The following is a 13,582-nucleotide window of genomic DNA, read 5'->3' as shown; positions in this document are numbered from 1 at the left end:
TTCTGGGTTAACCTCCTGACGTACTTTTTAATGGAAAGTCCCCAACTGTCAGAAATGGCAGGGGAGAATAATTTTTTGTTTAGTCTAAGTTTTTTGCCCTAGGTCTTTAGTGAGAATACCCAAGTTAGTAAGTCTGTGTTCTCTGCCCATAGGGTATCCCTAAATGCAAGTTGTTTCTTTCTTTTGAGGTCTTTCTTGTTGCCATCCTCTTACTTGTTGTATAGTAGGTTGTTGAAAACTGCTGAGAAAGTTAGGATGTTTCCCAGCCGTTCCAGGCTTTAATGCCCTGCATTGCATGAGGAGCATTGCCCTGGCCTTTTATCCTGTCCCATGGTTTAAACTGAGCTCTGACAGTTAACATTTTTCCAACAGAAGATGAATCCAGTTTTTCACTACCTGGGAATCTGCTAAAGATTCTAGCAGTCCAAGCAGCTGTGGATGCTCTCCTTATAAATGACCAGAAATCCAGGCCCCAGTCAGTAACCAACCTAGTAGCAATGAGCACCCCTAGCACTCAGATTTGTGGTCTCTAAATACCAATTCCCCCTAAAAGGAACTGCAGCTTCCTTGAGAAATGGCTGATGCAGGGTTTGAGGTAGGAAATCTATAAGTTGGAACTTCCCAGAAAAGCAAGGAAGTTATAAAAAACTTCTGGGTTTATGTAAAGAGACGCAGGAGCCAAACTGAATAGGCTCCTACTTGACAAAGACAGGTGAGTTGAGCATCAATAAGAATCTAACTTCAGGCCAGGCGCGGTGGCTCACGCCTGTAATGCCAGCACTTTGGGAGGCCACGGCAGGTGGATCACCTGAGGTTGGGAGTTCGAGACCAGCCTGACCAACATGGAGAAACCCCATCTCTACTAAAAAAAAAATACAAAAAATTAGCCGGGCGTGGTGGTGCATGCCTGTAATCCCAGCTACTTGGGAGGCTGAGGCAGGGGAATTGCTTGAACCTGGGAGGCAGAGGTTGCAGTGAGCCGAGATCGTGCCATTGCACTCCAGCCTGGGCAACAAGAGCAAAACTCTGTCTCAAAAAAAAAAAAAAAAAAAAAAAGTCTAACTTCAGTGCATTGCAACACATCAGATATGGTTAAATGTAGGAGTTTATAATGATACTTTAAAGAGAGAAATCTAGTCCCTAATTGCTTGATCTTCTCTCTGGTAATTATTAGGGAGATTAAGAGTCACAAGTACAAGAAGCCACAGAGAAACAGGCATAGTCTAGAAGGGCAGTGTATCCCATGCCCATAGCTGTGCCCTGCCCATGGCCCATTAAACAGCGGCCATGAGACCTTTTCCTGTTGTACGTGTGTGTGTGTGCACGTGTGTGGTCTTCACCAGCGGGGAAGCTGCAGTCCTACTTTGTCTGTTCTTACTGTGCTGGAAGGTTTAACATATGGGATTTAATTGTGGTTTTATCTCCAAATTTTTTAATTATACAGATGCGTCTTGACATACAATGGCGTTATGTCCCAATAAACTCATTGTAGGTTGTAGATATTGTAAGTTGAAAATGCATTCAATACACCTACCCTACTGAACATCATAGCTTAGCCTAGTCTACCTTAAATGTGCTTAGAACATTTACATTAGCCTACAGTTGGGCAAAATCATCTAACACAAAGCCTATTCTGTAACAAAGTGTTGAATGTCTGATGTAACGTATGGAATACAGTACACGATGCAGTACTGGTTGTTTACCCTTGTGATTGTGTGGCTCACTGGGAGCTACAGCTCACTGCTGCTGCCCAGCCTCAGTACAGAGTGTTGTACTACACATCGCTAGCCTGGGAAAAGATCAAAACTCAAATTTTGAAGTATGGTTTCTGCTAAGCGCAGATTACTTTCACACCATCATAAAGTTGGAAAATTGTAAGTCGAACCATTTTAAGTCAGCGATCTTCTATACAGGTAATGCATGCTTGTTGATAAAAACTTAAATACAGAAGATATAGAATATGCCTTGTTCCCCATCCTTATTTTTAGTTGCAAAATGGAGAGGTTTCAATTATTTTTTCAAGGTCACTGCTGGTTAGCTGTGGATCAGAGGCTTGAACTAAGATACTGACTTCAAGAAACATACCTCTTTTTCAAGTGGCACAAGTCATCCTTCTTCCATTTTTCTTCAGATAATCATGATGTCATTTCCTTGAAGTTGTTTGAACTGACAGTGGAGAGAACCCCAGAAGAGGAAAAGCTCCATCGAGATGTGTTCTTGCCCTCAGTGGACAATATGAAGCTGCCTGAGAGTGAGCACAGGGGCCCGCGGGAAATGGTCCCATAGTTGGGGAGGAGCTTGCAGTGCTGTACCCATAGCTCACAGGGCGGTCTCTGCTCTGTGTTCTTCTTCTGAAGGGTAGGGAGCACTTTCATCTGCCTTTCCCCTTCAAGTTACAGATGAGCAGCAGGAGGGCCGCTTTGTTTCTCAGTTGGAAAGAGGGGGTCTAAGCTCTGGCTTCCCAGAAGTAGGTGTCAGAAACTGGGGGCCGGACAGCCTATAGTTTGATCCTTCCCTATTGGGTGGGCTCCCTGTTTTCTGACTTGCTTCTCTCTTGCTTCCTCAGTGACAGCTCCACTGCCGCCCCTGAGTGGCCTGGCCCTCTTCCTCATCGTCTTTTTCTCCCTGGTGTTTTCTGTATTTGCCATAGTCATTGGTATCATACTCTACAACAAATGGCAGGAACAGAGCCGAAAGCGCTTCTACTGAGCCCTCCTGCTGCCACCACTTTTGTGACTGTCACCCATGAGGTATGGAAGGAGCAGGCACTGGCCTGAGCATGCAGCCTGGAGAGTGTTCTTGTCTCTAGCAGCTGGTTGGGGACTATATTCTGTCACTGGAGTTTTGAATGCAGGGACCCCGCATTCCCATGGTTGTGCATGGGGACATCTAACTCTGGTCTGGGAAGCCACCCACCCCAGGGCAATGCTGCTGTGATGTGCCTTTCCCTGCAGTCCTTCCATGTGGGAGCAGAGGTGTGAAGAGAATTTACGTGGTTGTGATGCCAAAATCACAGAACAGAATTTCATAGCCCAGGCTGCCGTGTTGTTTGACTCAGAAGGCCCTTCTACTTCAGTTTTGAATCCACAAAGAATTAAAAACTGGTAACACCACAGGCTTTCTGACCATCCATTCGTTGGGTTTTGCATTTGACCCAACCCTCTGCCTACCTGAGGAGCTTTCTTTGGAAACCAGGATGGAAACTTCTTCCCTGCCTTACCTTCCTTTCACTCCATTCATTGTCCTCTCTGTGTGCAACCTGAGCTGGGAAAGGCATTTGGATGCCTCTCTGTTGGGGCCTGGGGCTGCAGAACACACCTGCGTTTCACTGGCCTTCATTAGGTGGCCCTAGGGAGATGGCTTTCTGCTTTGGATCACTGTTCCCTAGCATGGGTCTTGGGTCTATTGGCATGTCCATGGCCTTCCCAATCAAGTCTCTTCAGGCCCTCAGTGAAGTTTGGCTAAAGGTTGGTGTAAAAATCAAGAGAAGCCTGGAAGACATCATGGATGCCATGGATTAGCTGTGCAACTGACCAGCTCCAGGTTTGATCAAACCAAAAGCAACATTTGTCATGTGGTCTGACCATGTGGAGATGTTTCTGGACTTGCTAGAGCCTGCTTAGCTGCATGTTTTGTAGTTACGATTTTTGGAATCCCACTTTGAGTGCTGAAAGTGTAAGGAAGCTTTCTTCTTACACCTTGGGCTTGGATATTGCCCAGAGAAGAAATTTGGCTTTTTTTTTCTTAATGGACAAGAGACAGTTGCTGTTCTCATGTTCCAAGTCTGAGAGCAACAGACCCTCATCATCTGTGCCTGGAAGAGTTCACTGTCATTGAGCAGCACAGCCTGAGTGCTGGCCTCTGTCAACCCTTATTCCACTGCCTTATTTGACAAGGGGTTACATGCTGCTCACCTTACTGCCCTGGGATTAAATCAGTTACAGGCCAGAGTCTCCTTGGAGGGCCTGGAACTCTGAGTCCTCCTATGAACCTCTGTAGCCTAAATGAAATTCTTAAAATCACCGATGGAACCAAACATGAGCTTCTGACTGTGTTCTTTCTTCTAGGAGTGGGTTTGGGGAAAGTTCAGGCCTTTATTCTGAGCAGGCCTTTTTTTTGAGCTTCAAGCCCATCAACCGTTGTTTTGCCTTCTCCTGGGTTGGAAAAGCCCTCAGCTCAGCTCAGAAGGAAAGGGGGTCACCTTGGCTAGGCAGAGGTCTCTGTCTCTTCAGGCTTTCTTTCCTTCCCATGCACTTAAACAGCACAGGCTATAGTGCTCTCCTGCAGGTGGGATTCAGGTGGAGGCATCTTCCTCCCACCTCCCCTCCACAATAGTAGAATGGCTCCAGGGTGCCAGAGGACAAACTGACCTAGAGCTTGGCCTTGGAGCAGGGAGAACTGAAAAAGAAAATGGTGGTTTTGTCTTTTTTGAGTTGAAGGGGAGATTGTATGGACCCGTGGGAGGACCTAGGTGGGCTCTTGAGATGGCCAAGGCAGCAGTGCAGGTGGAAGGGGTCTCATCAGAGGGGAGGGGCAGAGTGAGAGAGATGGAACCTGTAGGGTTTGTATGATTCCAGCTCATGAATACCTTGAGGCTTTTTAAAGAGGGCAGGGAAGACATGAAATGCAGTCCCCACCTGCCTTGGGGTCCTTTAGAGAAATGTATGGTGCAAGAAAACCACCTGACCTGGCATAGGATGCCCTGCTTTGGTTCTTGCTTTTTGTTCTAGAAACAAATGTTTCCCATCATGAATGGGTGGAATGTTGTCCTGGGCAGTGTCATCCTAGCTGTGCTAGAGGAGGGAGATGCCTGGTCCGTGGTAGGGCTGTTCTGTACATGCATGCTGTGGGTGAGAGCCAGTGCTTCGGCTTGCTGCTTACCCATAAGGGCCACTTCTCACAATCACCCTTTCCCTCCATTGCCCTCTGATTCCGAGCCTCTTAGCATGAAGAGACCCTGTGGACTAGAGGTGGTATATAAAGATGACATCACTCCCTGTCCCTGTGAGTCTTGTCTGAAGGGCTGGCATCTTCAGCCTTTCATGTTGTCTTCAGCGCCCCCAAATTACAAGATGGCTCTCTGTTATAGAACTTGTTTATTTCAGTGGAAAATTACAGCTCTGCTCGTCTTGTTGAAAGTGATTTCTGAACACAATAGCCAGAATATTCCTAGCATCTTGCATATATTCTAGAAGATAGAAACAAAGAACTGGTAGCCAGCCCAAGGGGAGGGCTGTTGGTAGCAGGAGGAAAGCCAGGCAGCATGGACTAATTAGTCTCCTGGGGCTGGAAGTTCTGGGAAAATATCACTCAGGTGATTTGTGGGTCCTGGGTGGAGTTTCCACTCATGGTCTATTGTAGGCTTTAGGTTTGGATCCTGGGTGGGAAGGATGGAAGAGCTGGCGTTGCTGGTGTTTAGTGAATTGATGATATTGAATATTTTAATGGGAGGATACAGCTGAAGTTGAGGTTTGATCCAGCTCATGGCCAAATAGTGCTAGAGAGAACAGACAACAGTTAGCCTGGGGTGGCAAGCTGAAGACGCTGTCCCCAGAGTCATCCCGAGACCACCTTTGTCCTTGCCCCCATGGCTGCCACTCACCGGAGCTGAATAGATGAAGTTAAACAGCATAAGTGCTATAATCGATATGACCATAAAGGCTATGAGTTTGAAGCGATAGCGTTTCCAGAAAATATAGCAGAAGTTTTGAACTGGTGACCGCAGCCACGTGAAAGAGGTGTTGGTGCGTCTGTCCAGGAGCCAGGGAGATGTCAGAGAATGGCAGGGAGAACCTTCAGGTCAAGTAATCTGATGCAAAGAGCTTTCTTTTTTAAAAAAGCAACTACTGGGCCAGGCACAGTGTCTCACGCCTGTAATCCCAGCATTTTGGGAGGCCGAGGTGAGTGGATCACCTGAGGTCAGGAGTTTGAGACCAGCCTGGCCAACATGGTGAAACCGCGTCTCTACTAAAAATACAAAAATTAGCCGGGCATGGTGGCATGTGCCTGTTATCCCAGCTACTCAGGAGGCTGAGGCAGGAGAATCGCTTGAACCCAGGAGGCAGAGGTTGCAGTGAGCAGAGATTGTGCCACCACACTCCAGCCTGGGTGACAGAGTGAGACAATTATCTCAAAAAAAAAAAAAAAAAAAAAAAGGCAACTTTTGCTTACTCCAACCCTCACCCCAAGTCTGTTCTTTGCTGATTGTAACTGAGCACAGAGCTGTGGGGTGGGAGGTAATTACCACCTCTCCATGATAGGCCCACTGGTCACCACCCCATACACACTGAGGAGCAAGAAAGATCTGGTGCTTTTGCCCCAAGGACCCTTACAGGGGAGGATGAAGTGTGGGGTACTGGTTGGGTTCCGACTGGCCTCGCCCGGCTGGCTTGATTAAGGCTTCCTTCTCTGACAGAATCTCCAGGCTCATCTTCACCTTGCCCTAGGAACACCATGGGTGAGGGGGAGGCTGAGTGCAGACAGCAGGAGCCGGGTAGTTTTAGGACCTCTTCCCGGGATCAAGAAAGGAAAAGGGATTTAGCTAGGTCCCTAGATGTCTGTTAGAGCCAGGACATGTGGCATAGCAGCCCTAATCAGTAGACACTCCCCAGCTCCTACCGACAAGCGCCATTTGCCACCATCGAGGACCTGGCAAGGCCACCAGCCAGTCACAGTCTTCTTCTTAAAGAGGGAGAAGTGCTTGTATTGGATGAAATAGGGCCACTTGGGGTCGGCGTCCATCATCCTGATGGAGCACTGCTTGGCGTGCCGAGCCGGGAGGGGCATGTCAGACAAATCCAGCTCCAGGACCCCTGAGCCCAGAAAAATGACATCAGCAAGAAGGAGCTCCCTGTCCTGTGGTCACAAGCCCTGTGTCAGGACCTCACCTAGGAAGTCGTCGGGGGAGAAGATGTCATTGTCCCAGACCTGGATGATAAGTCGGGCTGGGAACTTCATGGACGTGGCATCCAGGCTCCATATGTAATCCTGGGGAAATGGCGGAAGGGCGTGTTACCGGCCTGTCTCCTGGACGTTTCCCTTGCACCCCTCAGTGGCCCTCCACCCAGCAGTGATAGACTATCAAGGAAGAGGGTTTCCACCTGAGGACATGTTTCTGATGTTCTGGGACAGATTGCAAGCCTCTGGAGGGGTGGGGGGAGGAGCTCCAGGAGCCTGGGTCTGTTTGTTGTGGCCTGTTGCCCCTCACGCCCCAGGCCTGTTACCTTCTGGCTCTGGACACACGTGCGCTCCGCCGCCAGGTAGTCCATGGTAAAGATGAACCGCCAGTTGAAGTCGGCCTCCCCAGTCAGCGAGTGGTAGTGGATGTCTGTCTTCTGCATGTCCTTCTCCAGCCCGTATAACCACCTGGGGCCAGAGTCCTATCACCTGTGGCTCATGTGCATTGGCCCCATCCCCCAGCTGGAGCCCCATGGGAAGGGCTGCCCAGCCGACGCCAGGCAGAGCTGGATGGAGAGGTGTCCCATTCAGGACTGGGCCGTGCCAGCAGGATGACAGAACTGGGGAACTGAGGGGCTCTGCCGGAGCCTGACTCCTCTTCCCTACCCTTTGATGTAGATGTCGCTCGTCTTCTCTCTACTTAAATTGTCATCCACCAGGTCCACATTGGCAGTCTTCCAGATGATGCATCGCAGCTCATACCTGTGGCCACTGTGCTCTGAGGCTTTGCTGAGGAGGAGCTCCCCAGCTGCAGCCTCAGTGAGGGCAGAGAAGCCTGGGAGGCTGCCCTGTGTGTTTTTGCTCAGTGTGGGGAATTCAGGGGAAGAAAGCTCCCAGTAGAGCTTCCTCTCTTCCCAATAGAGAAACGAATTACTGCAGCTCAGTACCTGAGGACAGTGGTGCCCTGCACTGGGGGAGTTCTGAACTGTGAAATGCAGCAGTTGGGAAGTGGGCTGTCACTCACCGTTTAGGCTTTCTGGGGTTGATGTTGACTTGGGGGCCAGGAGGCCCCAGCTTCTTGGGGAAGATGTCCACCCACATTTGCACCTTTCCCTAGAGCCGGGATACATTGACTGGTTGGGGGTTGCTAGCCTCTGTTCTCAGCAGGCTGGCCTGGGGTTCCCTGTCCCAGGTTCTGAGGTCTGTTGAGGTTGTGTTCCCAACACCGAGGGGTGGGGTACAGAGATATCTGTGAGGCCGCAGGTGACCACGCACCAGCTTCCCCCTTTCTTTTGGCTGAGAGAGTAGTGCAGGGAGATTGGGACACGGTAGCTTTGGGGCTGATGGCATGGTGCTGGGATTCCACTTACGACAGGTCTGGAGGGTGAATGCCACTCCCTAGGTCATGCTAGATGGCCTGTCTGGACAGGGGTCCAGATCGGAGTTGGGGCATCATTTATCAAGCAGCTTGGTGTTGCTTGATAGCCTCGAGTATGAGGAAACTAGATACCAGTCCAGATTTTCAGGTCATTTTATGTTATGAACTACAACCTAAGGGTATTAAGCTAGCCACACATACAGAGGAAAGAAGGTAAGGGATGAGAAGGAGGAGAAAAGGAAAGAAAAGGGGAGAACTGCCAACATTGAAGAATACACAAATACGTTCTGCCTTTCAGACCACCTGACCTCATTATATTCTTCTGAAGTTGACCCATTTGAGAAAACAGGTTTAATGGGAATGGTTTTTTATTTGTTTTTTGAAACAGAGTTTCCCTCTGTCACCAGGCTGCAGTGCAGTGGCATGATCTCAGCTCACTGCAGCCTCTGCCTCTCAGGCTCAAGCGATTCTCGTGCCTAAGCCTCCTGAGTAGCTGGGATTACAGGCACCCACCACCATGCCCAGCTAATTTTTGTATTTTTAGTAAAGAGGTTTTGCCATGTTGGCCAGGGTGGTCTCAAACTCCTGGCCTCAAGTGATCTGCCCGCCTCAGCCTCCCACAGGCTGGGATTACAGGCGTGAGCCACTGCACCTGGCCTGTGGGAATGGTTTTTTAAAAATTTTGCTCAGCAGAGGACTTTCTGTCTGGAATGTGGTATGAGCTTGAGAAGTTTAGAGAATGAGATGAGCCATTATGGTGGCTGCAGAGTGAATGATAATTAGGTGCGTTTGGGGATTTTTATTTCTCTGTTTGGGGTTATTTGCTGTGAAGAAGACACAGCCTACAATTAACAGCCAGAACCCGCGTTGTCATGTCTGCGCTGTCTGACCTGAGCGCCACCTTCCCACCCCTCGGGAGAGACTTAAGGCAATGGAGACATTGACTGGTAGGGCTCCCTGGTGCCTCCCACAGCTGGCGCATGGCCTCTGTTTCTTGTAGATGACCTTTCCAGCTCTGAAATTCTCCATTCTAAGTGACACCACCAGAACTTCTTGCTTATTAATGTGCACAGCATGCTTGTCTTCTGTGCATGTACATTACTAAATGTTTGGCCTGTCCTTCTCCTCTCGTGGACTATGTCCTGGGTGGACAGGCATCTCTGTCTCCTGATCTAGCTCCTCCTGTAGGAGCCAGGAGTGGCCCCTCCAGTCTCATACCTGGTCGATGCCTGGCTGGCTGTGGCTGTACAGTGTGCGGGTCTCCACGTGCTCAGGTACCAGCCCCTGGGTGTGCAGGAGGTACAGTGCAAGGCGTTCCTTCTTGGGTCCCAAACCATGAACAGTAGGGGTTTTGGGCTCTGGATTGGAGGGGGATGGAAGGAGGGGATTGCGAGGTCATTAGCCTTCCTATCTCCTAGGTAGGCTCTTACCCTCCCGACCGCAGCCTGGGTAGGAGTGAAGGGGAAAGGGATGGGCTGCTCTTTGGCTCCAGGGAGCTCTTTCCTTGTCCTCCCCTTTCTCCCCCAAGTCTGCAGCTCTTCCATTCTGGAGCCTCACAGCTTCCAGAGGCCTGTGTCTGTGCTTTCTGCTAGTGTTCTGCGCTGCTCACCAAAGCTTTGCAGCTTGAACTTTTTCCCATTATAGAAAACAGCATCTTCCTCAGGACTGAACAGAGGCGGAGGTAGCCCTTTCCGCTTGGCATAGCGTTCTAGGAGGTAGCTTGGGGGCATCTGATCCCGCCATCTAAAGGGCCCTGACCTGTGGGGGATGTGAGAGGAAGAGGTCTGGAGGTTTGGGTCCTGAAGAACACTGCTGTGAGCTGCAGGTTGACCACGGGTGGAAGCTTGGGTGGAGACTGGGCAGGTCTGGGCCCTGGTTCCCGCCCAGGATGCAGGCTTCTCCCAAGGGAGCTGTAGGCTCACTCTTCCACCCCACCTGACTCCCTTCCCCCAGACGGGCCCACTCTCACTGGCAGTAGGATTTGGAGAGCCCACAATGAGCTCCAAAGCCAGATAGGAGTCGGTTTTCAAGGTCGATGACTGTGGTTCCTATCTTATCATCAGGTGAAAATAGGTCGAAGTCATAGAGCTGGATCTCTAGGTCCTTCTCCAGGGGTATGTTGCAGGTGAGTTCAAACATCCTAGGGGTGAGGTGTTGGAGACTGCAGAGGATGTGGGCAATGTCTCTGTGCCCCCCTCCCTCACCGGTGTCTCGGCCCCGTAGGCCCCTTGTTTGTTCATGGAGATTGTGGAGAGCAGAGCATGGGGTAGGCTGCCTTCTGCCAATCGCCATCCCCTGGTTATGGTTGAAAATAACTTTGGATAGGCCTGGTGTGGGGCTCTGAGCTCCCCTCCCAGCCAGAGTGAGAAACAGGGTAGAACCGGCCCACCCATATATTTGTCTTCTATCTGTTGAGCACCAGGGCATGTAAGACGCTGTGGTGGGAACTTGGAGGCTGGACAGGAGTGCCAGAGTTCTGTGCCTTCTCCGGCCGACTTCCAGTGTGGTGTGGATAGGAGTGGAGAAGGGGTCTTGGGGGTTGGGGCAGCTCACATGCCAAAGATGGGATCCAGAGTGTTGGGCTGGTACATGTCCCGGTTGCCAAGCTCTGTCTTGCCCAGTTTCAGGATCACATAAGGGTCACACTGGGGTCAGATACAAGTGGGGGAAGGATAGGAACTGGGGAGGCCGTCCAGGTTTGTCAGGGAGGGTGGGAGGAGGGTGGAAACAAGCCCCTCGCACCACACGGAGCCTATGGGGAGTTGGCATTCTGTGTGTCAGCAGTCGGAGGGGGCTCCCAGAGATGGGTTGAGGGGAGCGTGCGGGGCACCTGTGTGGGGCAGGTACTGTTCTTTACCAGGCCATTGTAGTCCTGGGGCTGCAGGTTGATGGCTCGTACCATGTACACCCGCACCAAGCACGGCTGGGGGAAGTCCTCTCTCTCTGGCCAAACCAAGAACTGCAGCGGGGGCTTTGGGGCTTCTGGATTCTCAGGAAAGGGGTAGATGCGGAAAAGGCCCTGGCGGGGGGAGGGTGTTGGGGGCCCAGCCTGGCAGTGCTGGCCAGCTCTGTAAAGCCCTCTGGGAGGTGCCCCAGCCCATGTTCAGGAGAGAGAGGGTTGGGCTGAGGGTGGCAGGGATAGAAGGCCATGAGGACAGTGGAGGCAGGTACAGAAGGTGTTCAGCAGGGCCCACTATGTTGAAACAGGGTGTTGGCAAAGGAACCGCAGTCAGTAGGTGAGTTCCCCGTCTGTGCCGCTGTGGACTCATTCCACCCCATCTATCCCTTCAGGTTCGGGCTTGTTCTCTGTGGCTTTGCAGCCTTGGGAGGCCAGCATAGGCCAGGGTGGGGAGGGGAAGGGGAGCGCTCCCCGAGTTCCTGTGGAGGCGAATCTCTGCTCCTCCACTCCCAGAACGTTCTCAAGCCCTGCTCCATCTTCACAATGAGCATATAGAGCCAGGGCTTTTATTCGTTTTCCAGGGACAGAAGGTGCACAAGGAGACAGGGGCAGCTAAGCTGGGGTGGACACACACCTTGAACTCCCCTACCACGGGGCTGTCCAACTTGGGCTGCTCCTGGTAGAGTTTGAAGGTCTGGCAGAAGTCCTGCAGGCCCTGGAAGGCTGGCACGGCCTCCAGCTCACACTCATACACCTGCAGAGGTGTGTGGAACCCTGGCTGGTGGAGACTGTTCCCGTGATTAGGAGATGGAGGGACCACCAGCTCCCAGGTCTCACTCCAAAGCATCTGGCAGTCAGCGGCCCTGGGGCCAGCACTGTGTGCTTCAGACAGGGTGGCAGCTGGAGCTGTCTCTGGGAGACAGTGCGGGAACCTTCCCACTTGAGGCTTCCCAGAGGAATCAAGGCTAGCTCTGCTGGCCTCCTCCAGTGGGAGATTTGATTCCATCCCATTTCTTCCCTCCTTCAAACCTTGAGGGTGTGGTAGTCTTTGTACTTGTACTTCAGGGACTTGTGCTCATCTGTGGCCCAGAACAGCTTGCTCCACCAGTCCACCTCATGCTCATACTCATCCTGGCAGAGAAGAGGATCATTCTGGCCTCGGGCAGGGGCAGCCCCCCACCTCCCTGCACTGAATGGGGCTGAGCCTTCATCACCTCTGCTTTACTGGACTTGAACCAGAACTTTCTGTAGAGGTAGCCTAGGAACTGAAAAAGGAGAGGGTGAGCAAGGGAAAGCCATAGCTCACTCATGGGCTCTGACTTCAGAGAGGAGAGGGGGGTTGAGGCCAGAGCTTCCCTGGTGCCCTTGCCCTTGCCTTTCACATAGACCTTTTAATTCAGGGGTCTTTAGAAATGGGATCTAGGGAGCAAGAAGGAGGGGACAGATAGTTCAATGTCCTCATTGCCCATAGCTGCAGACTGGATTCTGGATTCTGGATTCTGGATTCTGGAAGGGGCTCAGAAATACAGAACCTCAAGCCCCACCCTGACCTACTAAGAGTCTGCTTTTGGTGACGATGTCTGGAGGATTCCTGCACATTCAGGTTTGACAAGTGCCACTTTAGAGCAATAGTTGGGGACCCTGAAAGCACATTGGAATCACCTGTGTGGAAGGGGTTGGAAAAAATGTTGATGCCTGGGTCCTACCTCAGCAATTCTGATAGATCAGTGGCTTAGGCCTCAGGAGTTTTAAAACTCTCAGGTGAGGCTGAGTAACCTCAGCACTTTGGGAGGCCAAGGTGGGAGGATCGCTTGAGCTAAGGAGTTCAAGAACAGCCTGGGCAACATAGCAAGATCCCTGTCTCTATAAATTTTTTTTTAAGTGGGGGATGGAAGTCTCACTCTGTTGCCTAGGCTGGAGTGCAGTGGTGGGATCTTGATTCACTGCAACCTCCACCTCTGGGGTTCAAGCGATTCTTGTGCCTCAGCCTCCATAGTAGCTAGAATTACAGGTATGCACCAGCATGCTCAGCTAATTTTTTTTTGTATTTTTAGTAGAGATGGGGTTTCACCGTGTTGGCCAGGCCGGTCTTGAACTCGTGACCTTAAGTAACATGCCCGCCTCAGCCTCCCAAAGTGCTGGGATTACAGATGTGAGCCACTGCACCCAGCCAAAAAAATTTTTTTTTAAGATTTAAGGCCGGGCATGGTGGCTCACGCCTGTAATTGCTACACTTTGGGAGGCCGAGGCGGGTGCATCACCTGAGGACAAGAGTTCGAGACCAGCCTGGCCAACATGATGAAACCCTGTCTCTACTAAAAATACAAAAAATTAGCCGTGCGTGGTGGCGGGCACCTGTAATCCCAGCTGCTCAAGAGGCTGAGGCAGGAGAACCTCTCGAACCCGGG

The 13,582-nt window shown here is 51.1% G+C and overlaps 2 protein-coding genes across 29 annotated transcripts in view; one reads left to right on the top strand and one right to left on the bottom strand.

Moving 5' to 3' along the window:
* Window positions 1–4,036, top strand: part of LMAN2L (lectin, mannose binding 2 like) — a 34,136-nt gene extending 30,100 nt beyond the window's left edge. For all 11 annotated transcript variants that reach the window (NM_001322351.2, NM_001322350.2, NM_001322347.2 and 8 more), the window contains 2 exons: window positions 2,132–2,251; window positions 2,567–4,036. In NM_001322351.2, coding sequence (NP_001309280.1) covers window positions 2,132–2,251; window positions 2,567–2,709 — 263 coding nt within the window. In that variant the 3' untranslated portion in view covers window positions 2,710–4,036. The remainder of the gene's footprint in view (window positions 1–2,131; window positions 2,252–2,566) is intronic.
* The window catches only part of FER1L5 (fer-1 like family member 5), a 62,120-nt gene continuing 53,619 nt past the window's right edge, over window positions 5,082–13,582 (bottom strand). For 12 of the 18 annotated variants that reach the window (XM_011512110.3, XM_011512111.3, XM_017005222.2 and 9 more), the window contains 16 exons: window positions 12,389–12,439; window positions 12,204–12,305; window positions 11,809–11,928; window positions 11,133–11,294; window positions 10,829–10,920; window positions 10,245–10,415; window positions 9,885–10,033; window positions 9,494–9,633; window positions 7,922–8,010; window positions 7,564–7,686; window positions 7,224–7,365; window positions 6,888–6,987; window positions 6,619–6,812; window positions 6,333–6,442; window positions 5,603–5,750; window positions 5,082–5,497 (listed from right to left, as the gene is read on the bottom strand). In XM_011512110.3, coding sequence (XP_011510412.1) covers window positions 5,273–5,497; window positions 5,603–5,750; window positions 6,333–6,442; window positions 6,619–6,812; window positions 6,888–6,987; window positions 7,224–7,365; window positions 7,564–7,686; window positions 7,922–8,010; window positions 9,494–9,633; window positions 9,885–10,033; window positions 10,245–10,415; window positions 10,829–10,920; window positions 11,133–11,294; window positions 11,809–11,928; window positions 12,204–12,305; window positions 12,389–12,439 — 2,118 coding nt within the window. In that variant the 3' untranslated portion in view covers window positions 5,082–5,272. Of the gene's footprint in view, window positions 5,498–5,602; window positions 5,751–6,332; window positions 6,443–6,618; window positions 6,813–6,887; window positions 6,988–7,223; window positions 7,366–7,563; window positions 7,687–7,921; window positions 8,011–9,493; window positions 9,634–9,884; window positions 10,034–10,244; window positions 10,416–10,828; window positions 10,921–11,132; window positions 11,295–11,808; window positions 11,929–12,203; window positions 12,306–12,388; window positions 12,440–13,582 lie in introns of those variants that run through there. The other 6 variants (NM_001293083.2, XM_011512114.3, XM_011512122.3 and 3 more) reach the window with 5 other exon arrangements.

The sequence above is a fragment of the Homo sapiens genome, chromosome 2, assembly GCF_000001405.40.
Source record: "Homo sapiens chromosome 2, GRCh38.p14 Primary Assembly".
In the NCBI taxonomy this organism is placed as follows: Eukaryota; Metazoa; Chordata; class Mammalia; order Primates; family Hominidae; genus Homo; species Homo sapiens.
The sequence above is the reverse complement of the archived record's forward strand: the minus strand, read 5'-3'. Positions and strand labels throughout refer to the sequence as shown.